Genomic DNA, 16,228 nt, shown 5'->3' on the forward strand with positions numbered 1-16,228 from the left:
CCTGTTGTTTCCTGACTTTTTAATGATTGCCATTCTAACTGGTGTGAGATGGTATCTCATAGTGGTTTTGATTTGCATTTCTCTGATGGCCAGTGATGATGAGCATTTTTTCATGTATTTTTTGGCTGCATAAATGTCTTCTTTTGAGAAGTGTCTGTTCATGTCCTTCGCCCACTTTTTGATGGGGTTGTTTGTTTTTTCCTTGTAAATTTGTTTGAGTTCATTGTAGATTCTGGATATTAGCCCTTTGTCAGATGAGTAGGTTGTGAAAATTTTCTCCCATGTTGTAGGTTGCCTGTTCACTCTGATGGTAGTTTCTTTTGCTGTGCAGAAGCTCTTTAGTTTAATTAGATCCCATTTGTCAATTTTGGCTTTTGTTGCCATTGCTTTTGGTGTTTTGGAGATGAAGTCCTTGCCCACGCCTATGTCCTGAATGGTAATGCCTAGGTTTTCTTCTAGGGTTTTTATGGTTTTAGGTCTAACGTTTAAATCTTTAATCCATCTTGAATTGATTTTGTATAAGGTGTAAGGAAGGGATCCAGTTTCAGCTTTCTCCATATGGCTAGCCAGTTTTCCCAGCACCATTTATTAAATAGGGAATCCTTTCCCCATTGCTTGTTTTTCTCAGGTTTGTCAAAGATCAGATAGTTGTAGGTATGTGGCGTTATTTCTGAGGGCTCTGTTCTGTTCCATTGATCTATATCTCTGTTTTGGTACCAGTACCATGCTGTTTTGGTTACTGTAGCCTTGTAGTATAGTTTGAAGTCAGGTAGTGTGATGCCTCCAGCTTTGTTCTTTTGGCTTAGGATTGACTTGGCGATGCGGGCTCTTTTTTGGTTCCATATGAACTTTAAAGTAGTTTTTTCCAATTCTGTGAAGAAAGTCATTGGTAGCTTGATGGGGATGGCATTGAATCTGTAAATTACCTTGGGCAGTATGGCCATTTTCACGCAATTGATTCTTCCTACCCATGAGCATGGAATGTTCTTCCATTTGTTTGTATCCTCTTTTATTTCCTTGAGCAGTGGTTTGTAGTTCTCCTTGAAGAGGTCCTTCACATCCCTTGTAAGTTGGATTCCTAGGTATTTTATTCTCTTTGAAGCAATTGTGAATGGGAGTTCACTCATGATTTGGCTCTCTGTTTGTCTGTTGTTGGTGTATAAGAATGCTTGTGATTTTTGTACATTGATTTTGTATCCTGAGACTTTGCTGAAGTTGCTTATCAGCTTAAGGAGATTTTGGGCTGAGATGATGGGGTTTTCTAGATAAACAATCATGTCGTCTGCAAACAGGGACAATTTGACTTCCTCTTTTCCTAATTGAATACCCTTTATTTCCTTCTCCTGCCTGATTGCCCTGGCCAGAACTTCCAACACTATGTTGAATAGGAGCGGTGAGAGAGGGCATCCCTGTCTTGTGCCAGTTTTCAAAGGGAATGCTTCCAGTTTTTGCCCATTCAGTATGATATTGGCTGTGGGTTTGTCATAGATAGCTCTTATTATTTTGAAATACGTCCCATCAATACCTAATTGATTGAGAGTTTTTAGCATGAAGGGTTGTTGAATTTTGTCAAAGGCTTTTTCTGCATCTATTGAGATAATCATGTGGTTTTTGTCTTTGGCTCTGTTTATATGCTGGATTACATTTATTGATTTGCGTATATTGAACCAGCCTTGCATCCCAGGGATGAAGCCCACTTGATCATGGTGGATAAGCTTTTTGATGTGCTGCTGGATTCGGTTTACCAGTATTTTATTGAGGATTTTTGCATCAATGTTCATCAAGGATATTGGTCTAAAATTCTCTTTTTTGGTTGTGTCTCTGCCCGGCTTTGGTATCAGAATGATGCTGGCCTCATAAAATGAGTTAGGGAGTATTCCCTCTTTTTCTATTGATTGGAATAGTTTCAGAAGGAATGGTACCAGTTCCTCCTTGTACCTCTGGTAGAATTTGGCTGTGAATCCATCTGGTCCTGGACTCTTTTTGGTTGGTAAACTATTGATTATTGCCACAATTTCAGCGCCTGTTATTGGTCTATTCAGAGATTCAACTTCTTCCTGGTTTAGTCTTGGGAGAGTGTATGTGTCAAGGAATGTATCCATTTCTTCTAGATTTTCTAGTTTATTTGCGTAGAGGTGTTTGTAGTATTCTCTGATGGTAGTTTGTATTTCTGTGGGATCGGTGGTGATATCCCCTTTATCATTTTTTATTGTGTCTATTTGATTCTCCTCTCTTTTTTTCTTTATTAGTCTTGCTAGTGGTCTATCAATTTTGTTGATCCTTTCAAAAAACCAGCTCCTGGATTCATTGATTTTTTGAAGGGTTTTTTGTGTCTCTATTTCCTTCAGTTCTGCTCTGATTTTAGTTATTTCTTGCCTTCTGCTAGCTTTTGAATGTGTTTGCTCTCGCTTTTCTAGTTCTTTTAATTGTGATGTTAGGGTGTCAATTTTGGATCTTTCCTGCTTTCTCTCGTAGGCATTTAGTGCTATAAATTTCCCTCTACACACTGCTTTGAATACGTCCCAGAGATTCTGGTATGTGGTGTCTTTGTTCTCGTTGGTTTCAAAGAACATCTTTATTTCTGCCTTCATTTCGTTATGTACCCAGTAGTCATTCAGGAGCAGGTTGTTCAGTTTCCATGTAGTTGAGCGGCTTTGAGTGAGATTCTTAATCCTGAGTTCTAGTTTGATTGCACTGTGGTCTGAGAGATAGTTTGTTATAATTTCTGTTCTTTTACATTTGCTGAGGAGAGCTTTACTTCCAACTATGTGGTCAATTTTGGAATAGGTGTGGTGTGGTGCTGAAAAAAACATATATTCTGTTGAATTGGGGTGGAGAGTTCTGTAGATGTCTATTAGGTCCGCTTGGTGCAGAGCTGAGTTCAATTCCTGGGTATCCTTGTTGACTTTCTGTCTCGTTGATCTGTCTAATGTTGACAGTGGGGTGTTAAAGTCTCCCATTATTAATGTGTGGGAGTCTAAGTCTCCTTGTAGGTCACTCAGGACTTGCTTTATGAATCTGGGTGCTCCTGTATTGGGTGCATATATATTTAGGATAGTTAGCTCCTCTTGTTGAATTGATCCCTTTACCATTATGTAATGGCCTTCTTTGTCTCTTTTGATCTTTGTTGGTTTAAAGTCTGTTTTATCAGAGACTAGGATTGTAACCCCTGCCTTTTTTTGTTTTCCATTTGCTTGGTAGATCTTCCTCCATCCTTTTATTTTCAGCCTATGTGTGTCTCTGCACGTGAGATGGGTTTCCTGAATACAGCACACTGATGGGTCTTGACTCTTTATCCAACTTGCCAGTCTGTGTCTTTTAATTGGAGAATTTAGTCCATTTACATTTAAAGTTAATATTGTTATGTGTGAATTTGATCCTGTCATTATGATGTTAGCTGGTGATTTTGCTCGTTAGTTGATGCAGTTTCTTCCTAGTCTCGATGGTCTTTACATTTTGGCATGATTTTGCAGCGGCTGGTACCGGTTGTTCCTTTCCATGTTTAGCGCTTCCTTCAGGAGCTCTTTTAGGGCAGGCCTGGTGGTGACAAAATCTCTCAGCATTTGCTTGTCTGTAAAGGATTTTATTTCTCCTTCACTTATGAAGCTTAGTTTGGCTGGATATGAAATTCTGGGTTGAAAATTCTTTTCTTTAAGAATGTTGAATATTGGCCCCCACTCTCTTCTGGCTTGTAGGGTTTCTGCCAAGAGATCCGCTGTTAGTCTGATGGGCTTCCCTTTGAGGGTAACCCGACCTTTCTCTCTGGCTGCCCTTAACATTTTTTCCTTCATTTCAACTTTGGTGAATCTGACAATTACGTGTCTTGGAGTTGCTCTTCTCGAGGAGTATCTTTGTGGCGTTTTCTGTATTTCCTGAATCTGAACGTTGGCCTGCCTTGCTAGATTGGGGAAGTTCTCCTGGATAATATCCTGCAGAGTGTTTTCCAACTTGGTTCCATTCTCCCTATCACTTTCAGGTACACCAATCAGACGTAGATTTGGTCTTTTCACATAGTCCCATATTTCTTGGAGGCTTTGCTCATTTCTTTTTATTCTATTTTCTCTAAACTTCCCTTCTCGCTTCATTTCATTCATTTCATCTTCCATTGCTGATACCCTTTCTTCCAGTTGATCGCATCGGCTCCTGAGGCTTCTGCATTCTTCACGTAGTTCTCAAGCCTTGGTTTTCAGCTCCATCAGCTCCTTTAAGCACTTCTCTGTATTGATTATTCTAGTTATACATTCTTCTAAATTTTTTTCAAAGTTTTCAACTTCTTTGCCTTTGGTTTGAATGTCCTCCCGTAGCTCAGAGTAATTTGATCGTCTGAAACCTTCTTCTCTCAGCTCGTCAAAGTCATTCTCCATCCAGCTTTGTTCCGTTGCTGGTGAGGAACTGCGTTCCTTTGGAGGAGGAGAGGCGCTCTGCGTTTTAGAGTTTCCAGTTTTTCTGTTCTGTTTTTTCCCCATCTTTGTGGTTTTATCTACTTTTGGTCTTTGATGATGGTGATGTACAGATGGGTTTTTGGTGTGGATGTCCTTTCTGTTTGTTAGTTTTCCTTCTAACAGACAGGACCCTCAGCTGCAGGTCTGTTGGAATACCCTGCCGTGTGAGGTGTCAGTGTGCCCCTGCTGGGGGGTGCCTCCCAGTTAGGCTGCTCGGGGGTCAGGGGTCAGGGACCCACTTGAGGAGGTAGTCTGCCTGTTCTCAGATCTCCAGCTGCGTGCTGGGAGAACCACTGCTCTCTTCAAAGCTGTCAGACAGGGACATTTAAGTCTGCAGAGGTTACTGCTGTCTTTTTGTTTGTCTGTGCCCTGCCCCCAGAGGTGGAGCCTACAGAGGCAGGCAGGCCTCCTTGAGCTGTGGTGGGCTCCACCCAGTTCGAGCTTCCCGGCTGCTTTGTTTACCTTAGCAAGCCTGGGCAATGGCGGGCTGCCTTCCCCCAGCCTCGCTGCCGCCTTGCAGTTTGATCTCAGACTGCTGTGCTAGCAATCAGCGAGATTCCGTGGGCGTAGGACCCTCCGAGCCAGGTGTGGGATATAGTCTCGTGGTGCGCCGTTTTTTAAGCCGGTCTGAAAAGCGCAGTATTCGGGTGGGAGTGACCCGATTTTCCAGGTGCGTCCGTCACCCCTTTCTTTGACTCGGAAAGGGAACTCCCTGACCCCTTGCGCTTCCCAGGTGAGGCAATGCCTCGCCCTGCTTCGGCTCGCGCACGGTGCGCACACCCACTGGCCTGCGCCCACTGTCTGGCACTCCCTAGTGAGATGAACCCGGTACCTCAGATGGAAATGCAGAAATCACCCGTCTTCTGCGTCGCTCACGCTGGGAGCTGTAGACCGGAGCTCCGTTCCTATTTTGTTATTCTTTTTTCTTTGTCTTTGTTGGATTGGGTTAATTTGAAGACCTTGTCTTCGAGCTCTAAATTTCTTTCTTCTACTTGTTCAATTCTATTGCTGAGACTTTCCAGAGCATTTCACATTTCTAAAAGTGTGTCCAAAGTTTCCTGAATTTTTTATTGTTTTTTCTTTAAGCTATCTATTTCCATGAATATTTTTCCCTTCACTTTTTATATCAATTTTTGGATTTCCTTGCATTGGGCTTTGCCTTTCTCTGGTCCCTCCCTGATGAGCTTAATAACTAACCTCCTGAATTCTTTTTCAGATAAGTCAGGGATTTCTTCTTGTTTGGATCCATTGCTGGTGAACTAGTGTGATTTTTGGGGGATGTTGAAGAGCCTTGTTTTGTCATATTATCAGGGTTGCTTTTCTTGTTCCTTCTCATTTGGGTAGGCTCTGTCAGAGGGAAGGTCTAGGGCTGAGGGCTGTTGTTCAGATTCTTTTGTCCCACGGGGTGTTCCCTTGATGTAGTACTCTCCCCCTTTCTCTATGGATGTGGCTTCCTGTGAGCCAAACTGCAATGATTGTTGTCTCGCTTCTTGGTCCAGCCAACCCAGCAAGTCTGCCCAGCTCCAGGCTGGTACTGGGGGTTGACTGCACAGAGTCCTATGATGTGAACCATCTGTGGGTCTCTCAGTCATGGATACCAGCGCCTGTTCTGCTGGAAGTGGTGGAGGGTGCAATGGACTCCATGAGGGTCCTTAGCTTTGGTGGTTTAATGCTCTATTTTTGTGCTGGTTGGCCTTCTGCCAGGAGGTGGCACTTTCCAGAAAGCATCAGCTGTAGTAGTGTGGTGAGGGATTGGCAGAGGGTGGGGCCCTAGAACCCCCAAGATTATATGCCCTTTGTCTTCCACTACAAGTGCAGATATGGAAGGATCATCAGGTGGGGGTGGGGCTAGGCATGTCTGAGCTCAGACTCTCCCTGGGCGGGTCTTGCTGTGGCTGCTATAGGGGATGGAAGTAAGATTCCCAGGTCACTGGAGTTGTGTACCTAGGAGGATTATGGCTGCCTCTTCTAAGTCATGCAGGTTGTCAGGAAAGTAGAGGAAAGCCAGCAGTCACAGGCCTCACCCAGCTCCCATGCAAACTGAAGGGCCGGTCTTACTCCCACCATGCCTCCCCCAGTAGCCCCAAGTCTGTTTCCAGGCAGTGGGCAATAGGCTCGAAAACTTGCCTGAGGCTCTCTGCCTCCCAGCTGTGAGAGAAAAGTGCTTTAGTTCTTCCTCTGCCTCTGAAGTGTGCATGCCTGATTCGACCCCCAAGTTCTACCCAGGAGGCTTCTTGCCTCATTCAAATTGCTACAAAGTTCAGCTAGAGAATTCCTTCTCCCTGTGGAGTTTTACCCCCTGCTCCTCTGGCCACCCTCCTGATGGATCCCTGTGGTGCCTGGAAGGAATGGGCTGCTCAGGGACCCAGTGAGCTCCCAGGGCCTTTCTGCTGCTTCCTCTACCCCTGTATTTCACTCAGCTCTCTAACTTGACTCAGCTCCAGGTAAAGTCAGAAACTTCTCCTGCAAACAGACCTTCACCTTCTCCAGTGGGGGTGTGTATTCGGGAGAGGAGTGTCTCCCTTTCCCACTTCCGCAGCTGGGGCACTCAGTATTTGGGGTGTCTCCTGGGTCATGCATGAGCAATGCACTTCCTTCAGAGGGTCTGTGGGTCCTCTCCGCATTGCTGGTTTGTTCTTGCACTTGATCTGGAGCTAAAAATTCATAATGCAAGCCTCCGCATGCTGCTCTGTCCAGAGCTGCAATCTAGTCCTGCCTCCTGTCCACCATGATCCCTTGTACCCTCATTAGTTGCGTCTTTAATCATGGCTGGTCTAAGCCTTTTGTCACCCACAATTGTTATTTTACTTTGATCCTTTTATATAGTGGATTATAATCAACTCTAAGATTATATAAGTTTCTGATAAATTTAGAGATTGTGCTATTAAAATAGAAAAACTTCCAGGATTCTCATGGAGTACTGATATATTCATGAGGTTTGCTGAATAAGCAGAACAGGAGTTAATTGCATGGACTGAACTAATAGAAGACTGACATAATCTTTTATGACTTTTTGTTTAAAACATTTTCTGATTCTTTTTGTTTTGTTTTTCACAGTCAGGGAAACTTCCTTTAAGCTGTTTATAGCTTTTAACAATTGCGTAAAGTATACTCTAATGAGCAAAATTTAAAATATAATTCCTTTCCCTCTACCTAATTTTTCCAAAATTTGGAAGCTATTTGTAAGTATTCTTAATTTATGGTCACACAGTTCTTCACATAAGCTCAATAAGAATTTGTTTTCTTTTATAACATGACATAACTAGAGACACTGGTTATTTTACCAAGGCTTTGGCTAGAATGATGTATTTTCAGATTGCCTTATAAAAATATACAGCTGATAAGAGCCGCTTGGGAAAACTGGCCTTATACCTTGACCTTTACAGGGTCCTGACCTGTGGTAAATAAAGAATGTCACCTTCTGACATGTCGAGGAACCCCAAGTTTTCTTGAAATCTCAAAAGGAGAAGAATTCACCCAATTTATACAGATATCTGCAGGCACAGATATATTCTTGGCTGGGCTTGAGACTTTAAAAAAATGTATAATATTATATTCCTTATAGAAAACATTTCAGCAAAGCTAAATTTTCTTTAAAAAGAAAAGACCGTATGGCAAATGATTATTCTTGCTGCCTTTTATGCAAATAATCAAGCCAAGTATAATAAGACTAAAATTTATTTTACAAATAAATTGGTCCTACTATCATATTGTCTTGGGGAATTGGAGAGACAAAAATTATATTTCAGAATAAACTACAGTACACCTGCTATTAGATTATAGTGTTGCCCAATGTTTTTGAATTTTTATTATTTTCTATAATTTGGACTGAATTATAAATTGTTTTCTGGCTACGAATCTCCAAAATAATGTTTTCAAATTTTTCCTTCTTTCTTTCCTCCCTACCCCACCCCCACAGTTTTCCTAAATTGAAATCACTAAAAATGAAGCCATGCTTTCCTGAAAGCCCTATGAACTGAAGCTAGACCACTTAATCTTTAGAAGAAAGTAACAGCAACCTATTTATATACATAAATCATTTTTATAGCTGCCTACTCATGTATGGACTTCATTTGGGGAGCTGGGGAGACTGAGGGAAAGGGTAAAAAGTCAGGAAGTTTACAGGAACCAGAACTCACACATCCAACTTCCTAAGCACAGAAAACTGGAGAAGAAGCATGCTGCTTCCATTATGAAACCACTCTGTTGGTAATCCGTACTGTTATTTGATGGTCTATTATTTCGATGTCTAAACTTAAAGCTTAAGAAACTTAGAGAAATCTTTAAAAACTACTGAACTAAATTTTTTATTACTACTTTATTTATTTACTTATTTGTAAGTTTATTATTAGTGATCACTTCCATAATATCTTTATATCTTATGTAACAATAAATCCAGATGTAAGAAATTTAAATAAGTTATCTTTCTTTGTTAATCAGATTGGTAAAGCTTTAAAAGTTAGTGGGTACAAGTGTTTGCAAAAATGTAAGAGGAAAAGGCAGGCTAATTTATGTAATAATGGTAGGGGTATAAATTGGCTTGATTCTTTTAGAAGACAGGCAGTGTGTGTCAAAATTAAGAGATGCATAGTACCTGTCCCAGCAATTCCCCTTTTAGTAATTTCTCTTGCAGAAACACTGGCAGATGTGCACAAAGATTATGAAACAAGTATTTTACTCATTACTGCTGCCATTTAGAAACATTGGAAATAACCCAAATGTATATCAAAAGCAGATTAAACAATCATGATAGTGCCATACAATAGGATACTAGGGTAAGTGTAAAACAGAGAAGAAACTGCACATGCATTGACATAGATAGATGTCCATTACTAAGATTCAAGTTAAAGAAAACAAAAAGGCAATGTGAAAATAGCATTATGTATGTTCTTATTTCAATTTATGTATACTGTGAAGATCTGTAATAGCATGCTTTGAAAAAATATCTGGATGAATATAAACCAAGCAGTGTTTATCTCTGGGATTATCAGAACTTTCATGGTTTTACGGCATACACTTTGTAATCTTTATTATGGCCATCTGTTTCTTTATTATCAGAGATAACAATAATGATTTTTAAAACAAGAAAAATTATTGGTCAGAAAAAAAGAAGTGCTGCACACTCATTTTTAAAACCAATTGACACCAGAGCACTCGTGATGCTGTTCTTGAAAGTCAAAGTGTTCCCTGAACAGATTTGTACACCAGTGACTAAATTTTAGAAATTTCTTAACTGCATCTGGGGTGTATATTCTAACTTTTTATGTCACACCACTATGCATCATTAAAACATTTTTTTTACTGATTGGAGAAGCAGTAGCTTAAGAGCTTATTTACTAATATTCTAGCTAGAAAAGCCTACAAGTTATTTTAAGATGCTTAAATAAACACAACTTAGGAAGTGACGAGCATTTTTATATGACACATTAATATTTTGAAAAAAGAAAAAGGAGAGAAGGAGAAGAACATTTGGAAACATTTAAAAGCTCTATTTAGAAAACATTTTATTTCCACCTTCATGATTGAGAATACACTCCACAAGCCTCAAACTAGAAGAGGGTGCTTGTAAATTCTTCCATACCTCCTCTTTTCTGTTTGACATTTCAGACTCCAAGGTTTTCATGACTTTGTACAACTTCTAAAACTGCAGGATGGCAATAGAAAATATTCTACTCTTAAAGAATAGTTTATGGTGCCCTCTCATGGAATTCTCAGGGTGCTCTACAATGAACCTAGGAAAAGTGGCAAGGACTGTGCTTCCTCTCAGCTAATTGCCTATTCAGGTGGTTAGGATATGAGGGGTGGGGATTCCCATTCACACTCTTGTCTGGCTAGTCCAGGGTCCTGAAAAGGACTGAGCTGGTGATCCATTTCAGCATTTCCATCTACTGAGAGGAATTACAGGCTGAGAATTAAATGGCTTGCTGGCTGCAGCCTAATACAGGCAGTGAAACCCAGATCTCCTGACTGCTAATCTAGTGCTCTCTCCCAACCCCACTTTGCTCATTCCATGGCTTGTAATGAAAGTTGTTCAACTGAAGATTTGTCTTGACTGCTGGAATGTCTCAGATGTTTGACTTGAACGATGAAATGCCTAGCTGCCTTTCAGCTCATGCACAGTCTAGCAAGTCTTCTCATTAGCATATTCGGCTCAGTCTTTGCCCATCAAGCCCTGGCCTCCTTCCTGGAATAAATCACGGCTTTAACTCCAGGGCCTGCCTGGGCCTCCTACCCTTCCAGCGCCATGGCCAGCACTGCCAACATTGGCCTGGATCACAGGGCCATCGTGTCGCTGCACTTCAGTCTTCAACCTGGGAGATGAAACCTGAACTGCTCTTGGGAGCTGGGTGCAACTTCTTGGGGACCAGCAGACTCTGTTACCAGAAACACAGCTGCAACCTTCAGAGCTGTGAAGTGAAGGCCAGAGGGGCCTGGGCATTAGAGGTCAGAGGCTGGTAGCCTGGGGATCTGTGCCCTCAGAGCTGGAAAGCTGGAGGGCTACAAACTTTGGGTTCCTTCCTAGACTCTGGTTTATGAATGCTATTAATTCAAAGAGTACAAAAGAGCAGGCACAACATGGCAAACCTGGAAATGCCCTGAAATCATCAGCTCATTACAAAAGATCTGTGTATTCAGGGTTTTCGCAAACTCAAAATCCATCCTAAAATTCACACACTATTTCTAGTAACAAATTTTAAAACTGAAATAAAGTGTTAAGCTGTTAATATTACAAACACATTCTAATCTACTGCACTAGAGGAAAGAATAAATTTGTTTTCTAGGCTCTCTTTAGCAGATGATACTATACGATTGTTGATCTATGAAGAGGTGATTAAAGAATATGCAGCCAATAAGATGGGAAAGAGAATTTGAGAGGTGTGTCAGGCTGTTGATTTATTATGTTGTAGTGTTTATTGCATTTGACACAATTTTAGATTTTTAACTTGTGATTTCTTTTCTCTCTCTAAATAAATATTCATTTTGGTATGTAATTTTGAACTTTTTCTTAAAGTGGGACCCCAAATTACATAAGTATAATGCCCCCAGAGAACTTGGACTGGCTTTTGTCTACCCCTCTTGCTCTGGTTCTTACTTGGATATGTGTGTCTGTACTGACCAAGCATTATCACCATTGTCACCATCCAGATTGTCATTATGTCCCTTGGCCCATGTCTGTTGCTTTTAACTTTTCAAAGAGCTATGGCATCTATATCTTAGATCCAATTTAGAGGCTGAGTGACCTGCAACATCTCCTAATTACGTAACCTCTGTGTGCCTTAGTTTTCTCATCTGTAAAATGGGGATAATCCTGGTACCTATTTTATAGGATTACTGTGAAGGTCAAATGAGTGAATAGACATAAAGTGCTTAGAACCATGCCTGGCACAAAGCAAGCACTGTGTAGGAGCTTGCTATTATTTTATTATGTAAATTTTTATATAAATATACATAATTATGTTAAAATTATTTTAATAGCAAGCTCCAAGGTAGTACTTGCTTTGTGCCAGGCATGGTTCTAAACACTTTATATCTATTCACTCACTTGACCATCACAGCAATCCTATAAAATAGGTACCAGGGGCTACAGCTCCCAGCATGAGCGATGCAGAAGATGGGTGATTTCTGCATTTCCAACTGAGGTACTGCGTTCATCTCACTGGGGCATGTCAGACAATGGGTGCAGTCCATGGAGTGTGAGCCGAAGCAGGGTGGGGCATCGCCTCACCTGGGAAGTGCAAGGGGTGGGGGGATTCCCTTTCCAAGCCAAGGGAAGCCATGACAGATGGTACCTGGAAAATTGGGACACTCCCACCCTAATACTGTGCTTTTCCAATGGTCTTAGCAAACAGCACACCAGGAGATTATATCCTGTGCATGGCTTGGAGGGTCCCACACCCATGGAGCCTTGCTCAATGCTAGCACAGCAGTCTGAGATCAAACTGCAAGGTGGCAGCGAGGCTGGGTGAGGGGCGTCCGCCATTGCTGAGGCTTGAGTAGGTAAACAAAGTGGCCAGGAAGCTCAAACTGGGTGGAGCCCACCTCAGCTCAAGGAGGCCTGCCTGCCTCTATAGACTCCACCTCTGAGGGCAGGGAATAGCTGAATAAAAGGCAGCAGAAACTTCTGCAGACTTAAACATCCCTGTCTGACAGCTTTGAAGAGAGCAGCGATTCTCCCAGCACAGAGTTTGAGATCTGAGAACAGACAGACTGCCTCCTCAAGTGGGTCCCTGACCCCCGAGTTGCCTAACTGGGAGACACCTCCCAGTAGGGGCCAACTGACACTTCATACAGCTGGGTGCCCCTCTGAGACAAAGCTTCCAGAGGAAGAATCAGGCAGCAACATTTGCTGTTCTGCAATATTTGCTGTTCTGCAGCCTCCGCTGGTGATACCCCAGCAGACAGGGTCTGGAGTGGACCTCCAGCAAATTCCAGCAGACCTGCAGCTGAGGGTCCTGACTGTTAGAAGGAAAACTAACAAAGAGCAAGGACATCCACACCAAAACCCCATCTGTACGTCACCATCATCAAAGACCAAAGGTAGATAAAACCACAAAGATGGGGAGAAACCAGAGGAGAAAAGCTGAAAATTCTAAAAATCAGAGCACCTCTTAGCCTCCAAAGGAAGGCAGCTCCTCGCCAGCAATGGAACAAAGCTGGATGGAGAATGACTTTGACGAGGTGAGAGAAGAGGCTTCAGATGATAGCTAATAACAAACTTCTCCAAGCTAAAGGAGGATGTTCAAACCCATCACAAAGAAGCTAAAAACCTTGAAAAAAGATTAGATGAATGGCTAACTAGAATAAACAGCATAGAGAACACCTTAAAGGACCTGATGGAGCTGAAAACCAGGGCACGAGAACTACGTGACGCATGCAGAAGCTTCAGTAGCCAATTCGATCAAGTGGAAGAAAGAGTATCAGTGATTGAAGATCAAATGAATGAAATGAAGAAAGAAGAGAAGTTTAGAGAAAAAAGAGTAAAAAGAAATGAACAAAGCCTCCAAGAAATATGGGACTATGTGAAAAGACCAAATCTGCATCTGATTGGTGTACCTGAAAGTGACGGGGAGAATGGCATCAAGTTGGAAAACACTCTTTAGGATATTATCCAGGAGAACTTCCCCAACCTAGCAAGGCAGGCCAACATTCAAATTCAGGATATACAGATAATACCACAAAGATACTCCTCGAGAAAAGCAACTCCAAGATATAATTGTCAGATTCACCAAAGTTGAAATGAAGGAAAAAAATATTAAGGGCAGCCAGAGAGAAATGTCGGGTTACCCACAAAGGGAAGCCCATCAGACTAATAGCGGATCTCCCAGAAGAGAGCGGGAGCCAATATTCAACATTCTTAAATAAAAGAATTTTCAACCCAGAATTTCATATCCAACCAAAGTAAGCTGCATAAGTGAAGGAGAAATAAAATCCTTTGCAGACAAGCAAATGCTGAGAGATTTTGTCACCACCAGGCCTGCCTTACAAGAGCTGCTGAAGGAAGCACTAAACATGGAAAGGAACAACTGGTACCAGCCATTGCAAAAACATGCCAAATTGTAAAGACCATGGATGCTAGGAAGAAACTGCATCAACTAATGAGCAAAATAACCAGCTAACATCATAATGACAGGATCAAATTCACACATAACAATATTAACCTTAAATGTAAACGGGCTAAATGCTCCAATTAAAAGACACAGACTGGCAAATTGGATAAAGAGTCAAGACCCATCAGTGTGCTGTGTTCAGGAGACACATCTCATGTGCAGAGACACAGATAGGCTCAAAATAAAGGGATGGAGGAAGATCTACCAAGCAAATGGAAAACAAACAAACAAACAAAAACAGGAATTGCAATCCTAGTCTCTGATAAAACAGACTTTAAACCAACAAAGATCAGAAGAGACAAAGAAGGCCATTACATAATGGTAAAGGGATCAATTCAACAAGAAGAGCTAACTATCCTAAATATATATGCACGCAATATAGGAGCACCCAGATTCATAAAGCAAGTCGTTAGAGACCTACAAAGAGACTTAGACTCCCACACAATAATAATGGGAGACTTTAACACCCCACTGTCGACATTAGACAGGTGAACGAGACAAAGTTAACAAGGATCCAGGAATTAAACTCAGCTCTGCACCAAGCAGACCTAACAGACATCTAAGAACTCTCCACCCCAAATCAACAGAATATACATTCTTCTCAGCACCACATCACACTTATTCCAAAATTGACCACATAGTTGGAAGTAAAGCACTCCTCAGCAAATGTAAAAGAACAGAAATTATAACAAACCGTCTCTCAGTCCACAGTGCAATCAAACTAGAACACCACTCAACTACATGGAAACTGAACAACCTGCTCCTGAATGACTACTGGGTACATAATGAAATGAAAGCAGAAATAAAGATGTTCTTTGAAACCAATGAGAACAAAGACACAACATACCAGAATCCCTGGGACACATTTAAAGCAGTGTGTAGAGGAAAATTTATAGTACTAAATGCCCACAGGAGAAAGCGGGAAAGATCTAAAATTGACACCCTAACATCACAATTAAAAGAATTAGAGAAGCAAGAGCAAACACATTCAAAAGTTAGCAGAAGGCAATAAATGACTAAGATCAGAGAAGAACTGAAGTAGATAGAGACAGAAAAAAACCCTTTAAAAAATCAATGAATCCAGGAGCTGGTTTTTTGAAACAATCAACAAAATTGATGGACCGCTAGCACGACTAATGAGGAAGAAAAGAGAAGAATCAAATAGACGTAATAAAAAATGATAAAGGGGATATTACCACCAATCCCACAGAAATACAAACCACCATCAGAGAATACTATAAACACCTCTATGCAAATAAACTAGAAAATCTAGAAGAAATGAATAAATTCCTGGACACATACAACCTCCCAAGACTAAACCAGAAAGAAGTTAAATCCCTGAATAGACCAATAACAGGCTCTGAAATTGAGGCAATAATTAAGAGCCTACCAACCAAAAAAAGTCCAGGGCCAGACAGATTCACAGTTGAATTCTACCAGAGGTACAAAGAGAAGCTGGTACCATTCCTTCTGAAACTATTCCAATCAATAGAAAAAAAAAGGGAATCCTCCCTAACTCATTTTATGAGACCAGCATCATCCTGATACCAAAGCCTGACAGAGACACAACAAAAATAGAGAATTTTAGACCAATATCCCTGATGAACATTGATGCAAAAATCCTCAATAAAATACTAGTAAACCAAATACAGCAGCACATCAAAAAGCTTATCCACCATGATCAAGTTGGCTTCATCCCTGGGATGCAAGGCTGGTTCAACATATGCAAATCAATAAACATGATCCATCATATCAACACAACCAAAGACAAAAAGCACATAATTATCTCAATAGATGCAGAAAAAGCCTTTGACAAAATTCAACAGCCCTTCATGCTAAAAACTCTCAATAAACTAGGTATTGATGGGATGTATCTCAAAATAATAAGAACTACTTATGACAAACCCACAGCCAATATCATACTGAATGGGCAAAAACTGGAAACATTCCCTTTGAAAACTGGCACAAGACAGGGATGCCCTCTCTCACCACTCCTATTCAACATAGTATTGGAAGTTCTGGCCAGGGCAATCAGGCAGAAGAAAGAAATAAAGGGTATTCAATTAGGAAAAGAGGAAGTCAAATTGTCCCTGTTTGCAGATGACATGATTGTATATCTAGAAAACCCCATCATCTCAGCTCAAAATCTCCTTAAGCTGATAAGCAACTTCAGCAAAG

At 41.2% G+C, this 16,228-nt stretch overlaps 4 annotated features.

The window, feature by feature from the left end:
• Positions 4,488-5,093: an enhancer, noted in NCBI's record as "NANOG-H3K27ac-H3K4me1 hESC enhancer chr14:56913685-56914290 (GRCh37/hg19 assembly coordinates)". NCBI's record gives its function as "activates a minimal SCP1, AML or CMV promoter by ChIP-STARR-seq in naive H9 embryonic stem cells {active_cell/tissue: H9 hESC(naive)}" and the evidence as "EXISTENCE:reporter gene assay evidence [ECO:0000049][PMID:30033119]".
• Positions 5,094-5,699: an enhancer, noted in NCBI's record as "H3K27ac-H3K4me1 hESC enhancer chr14:56914291-56914896 (GRCh37/hg19 assembly coordinates)". NCBI's record gives its function as "activates a minimal SCP1, AML or CMV promoter by ChIP-STARR-seq in naive H9 embryonic stem cells {active_cell/tissue: H9 hESC(naive)}" and the evidence as "EXISTENCE:reporter gene assay evidence [ECO:0000049][PMID:30033119]".
• Positions 10,200-10,701: an enhancer, noted in NCBI's record as "H3K4me1 hESC enhancer chr14:56919397-56919898 (GRCh37/hg19 assembly coordinates)". NCBI's record gives its function as "activates a minimal SCP1, AML or CMV promoter by ChIP-STARR-seq in naive H9 embryonic stem cells {active_cell/tissue: H9 hESC(naive)}" and the evidence as "EXISTENCE:reporter gene assay evidence [ECO:0000049][PMID:30033119]".
• Positions 10,702-11,201: an enhancer, noted in NCBI's record as "H3K4me1 hESC enhancer chr14:56919899-56920398 (GRCh37/hg19 assembly coordinates)". NCBI's record gives its function as "activates a minimal SCP1, AML or CMV promoter by ChIP-STARR-seq in naive H9 embryonic stem cells {active_cell/tissue: H9 hESC(naive)}" and the evidence as "EXISTENCE:reporter gene assay evidence [ECO:0000049][PMID:30033119]".

Source organism: Homo sapiens, chromosome 14 (assembly GCF_000001405.40).
Source record: "Homo sapiens chromosome 14, GRCh38.p14 Primary Assembly".
NCBI classification, from domain to species: domain Eukaryota; kingdom Metazoa; phylum Chordata; class Mammalia; order Primates; family Hominidae; genus Homo; species Homo sapiens.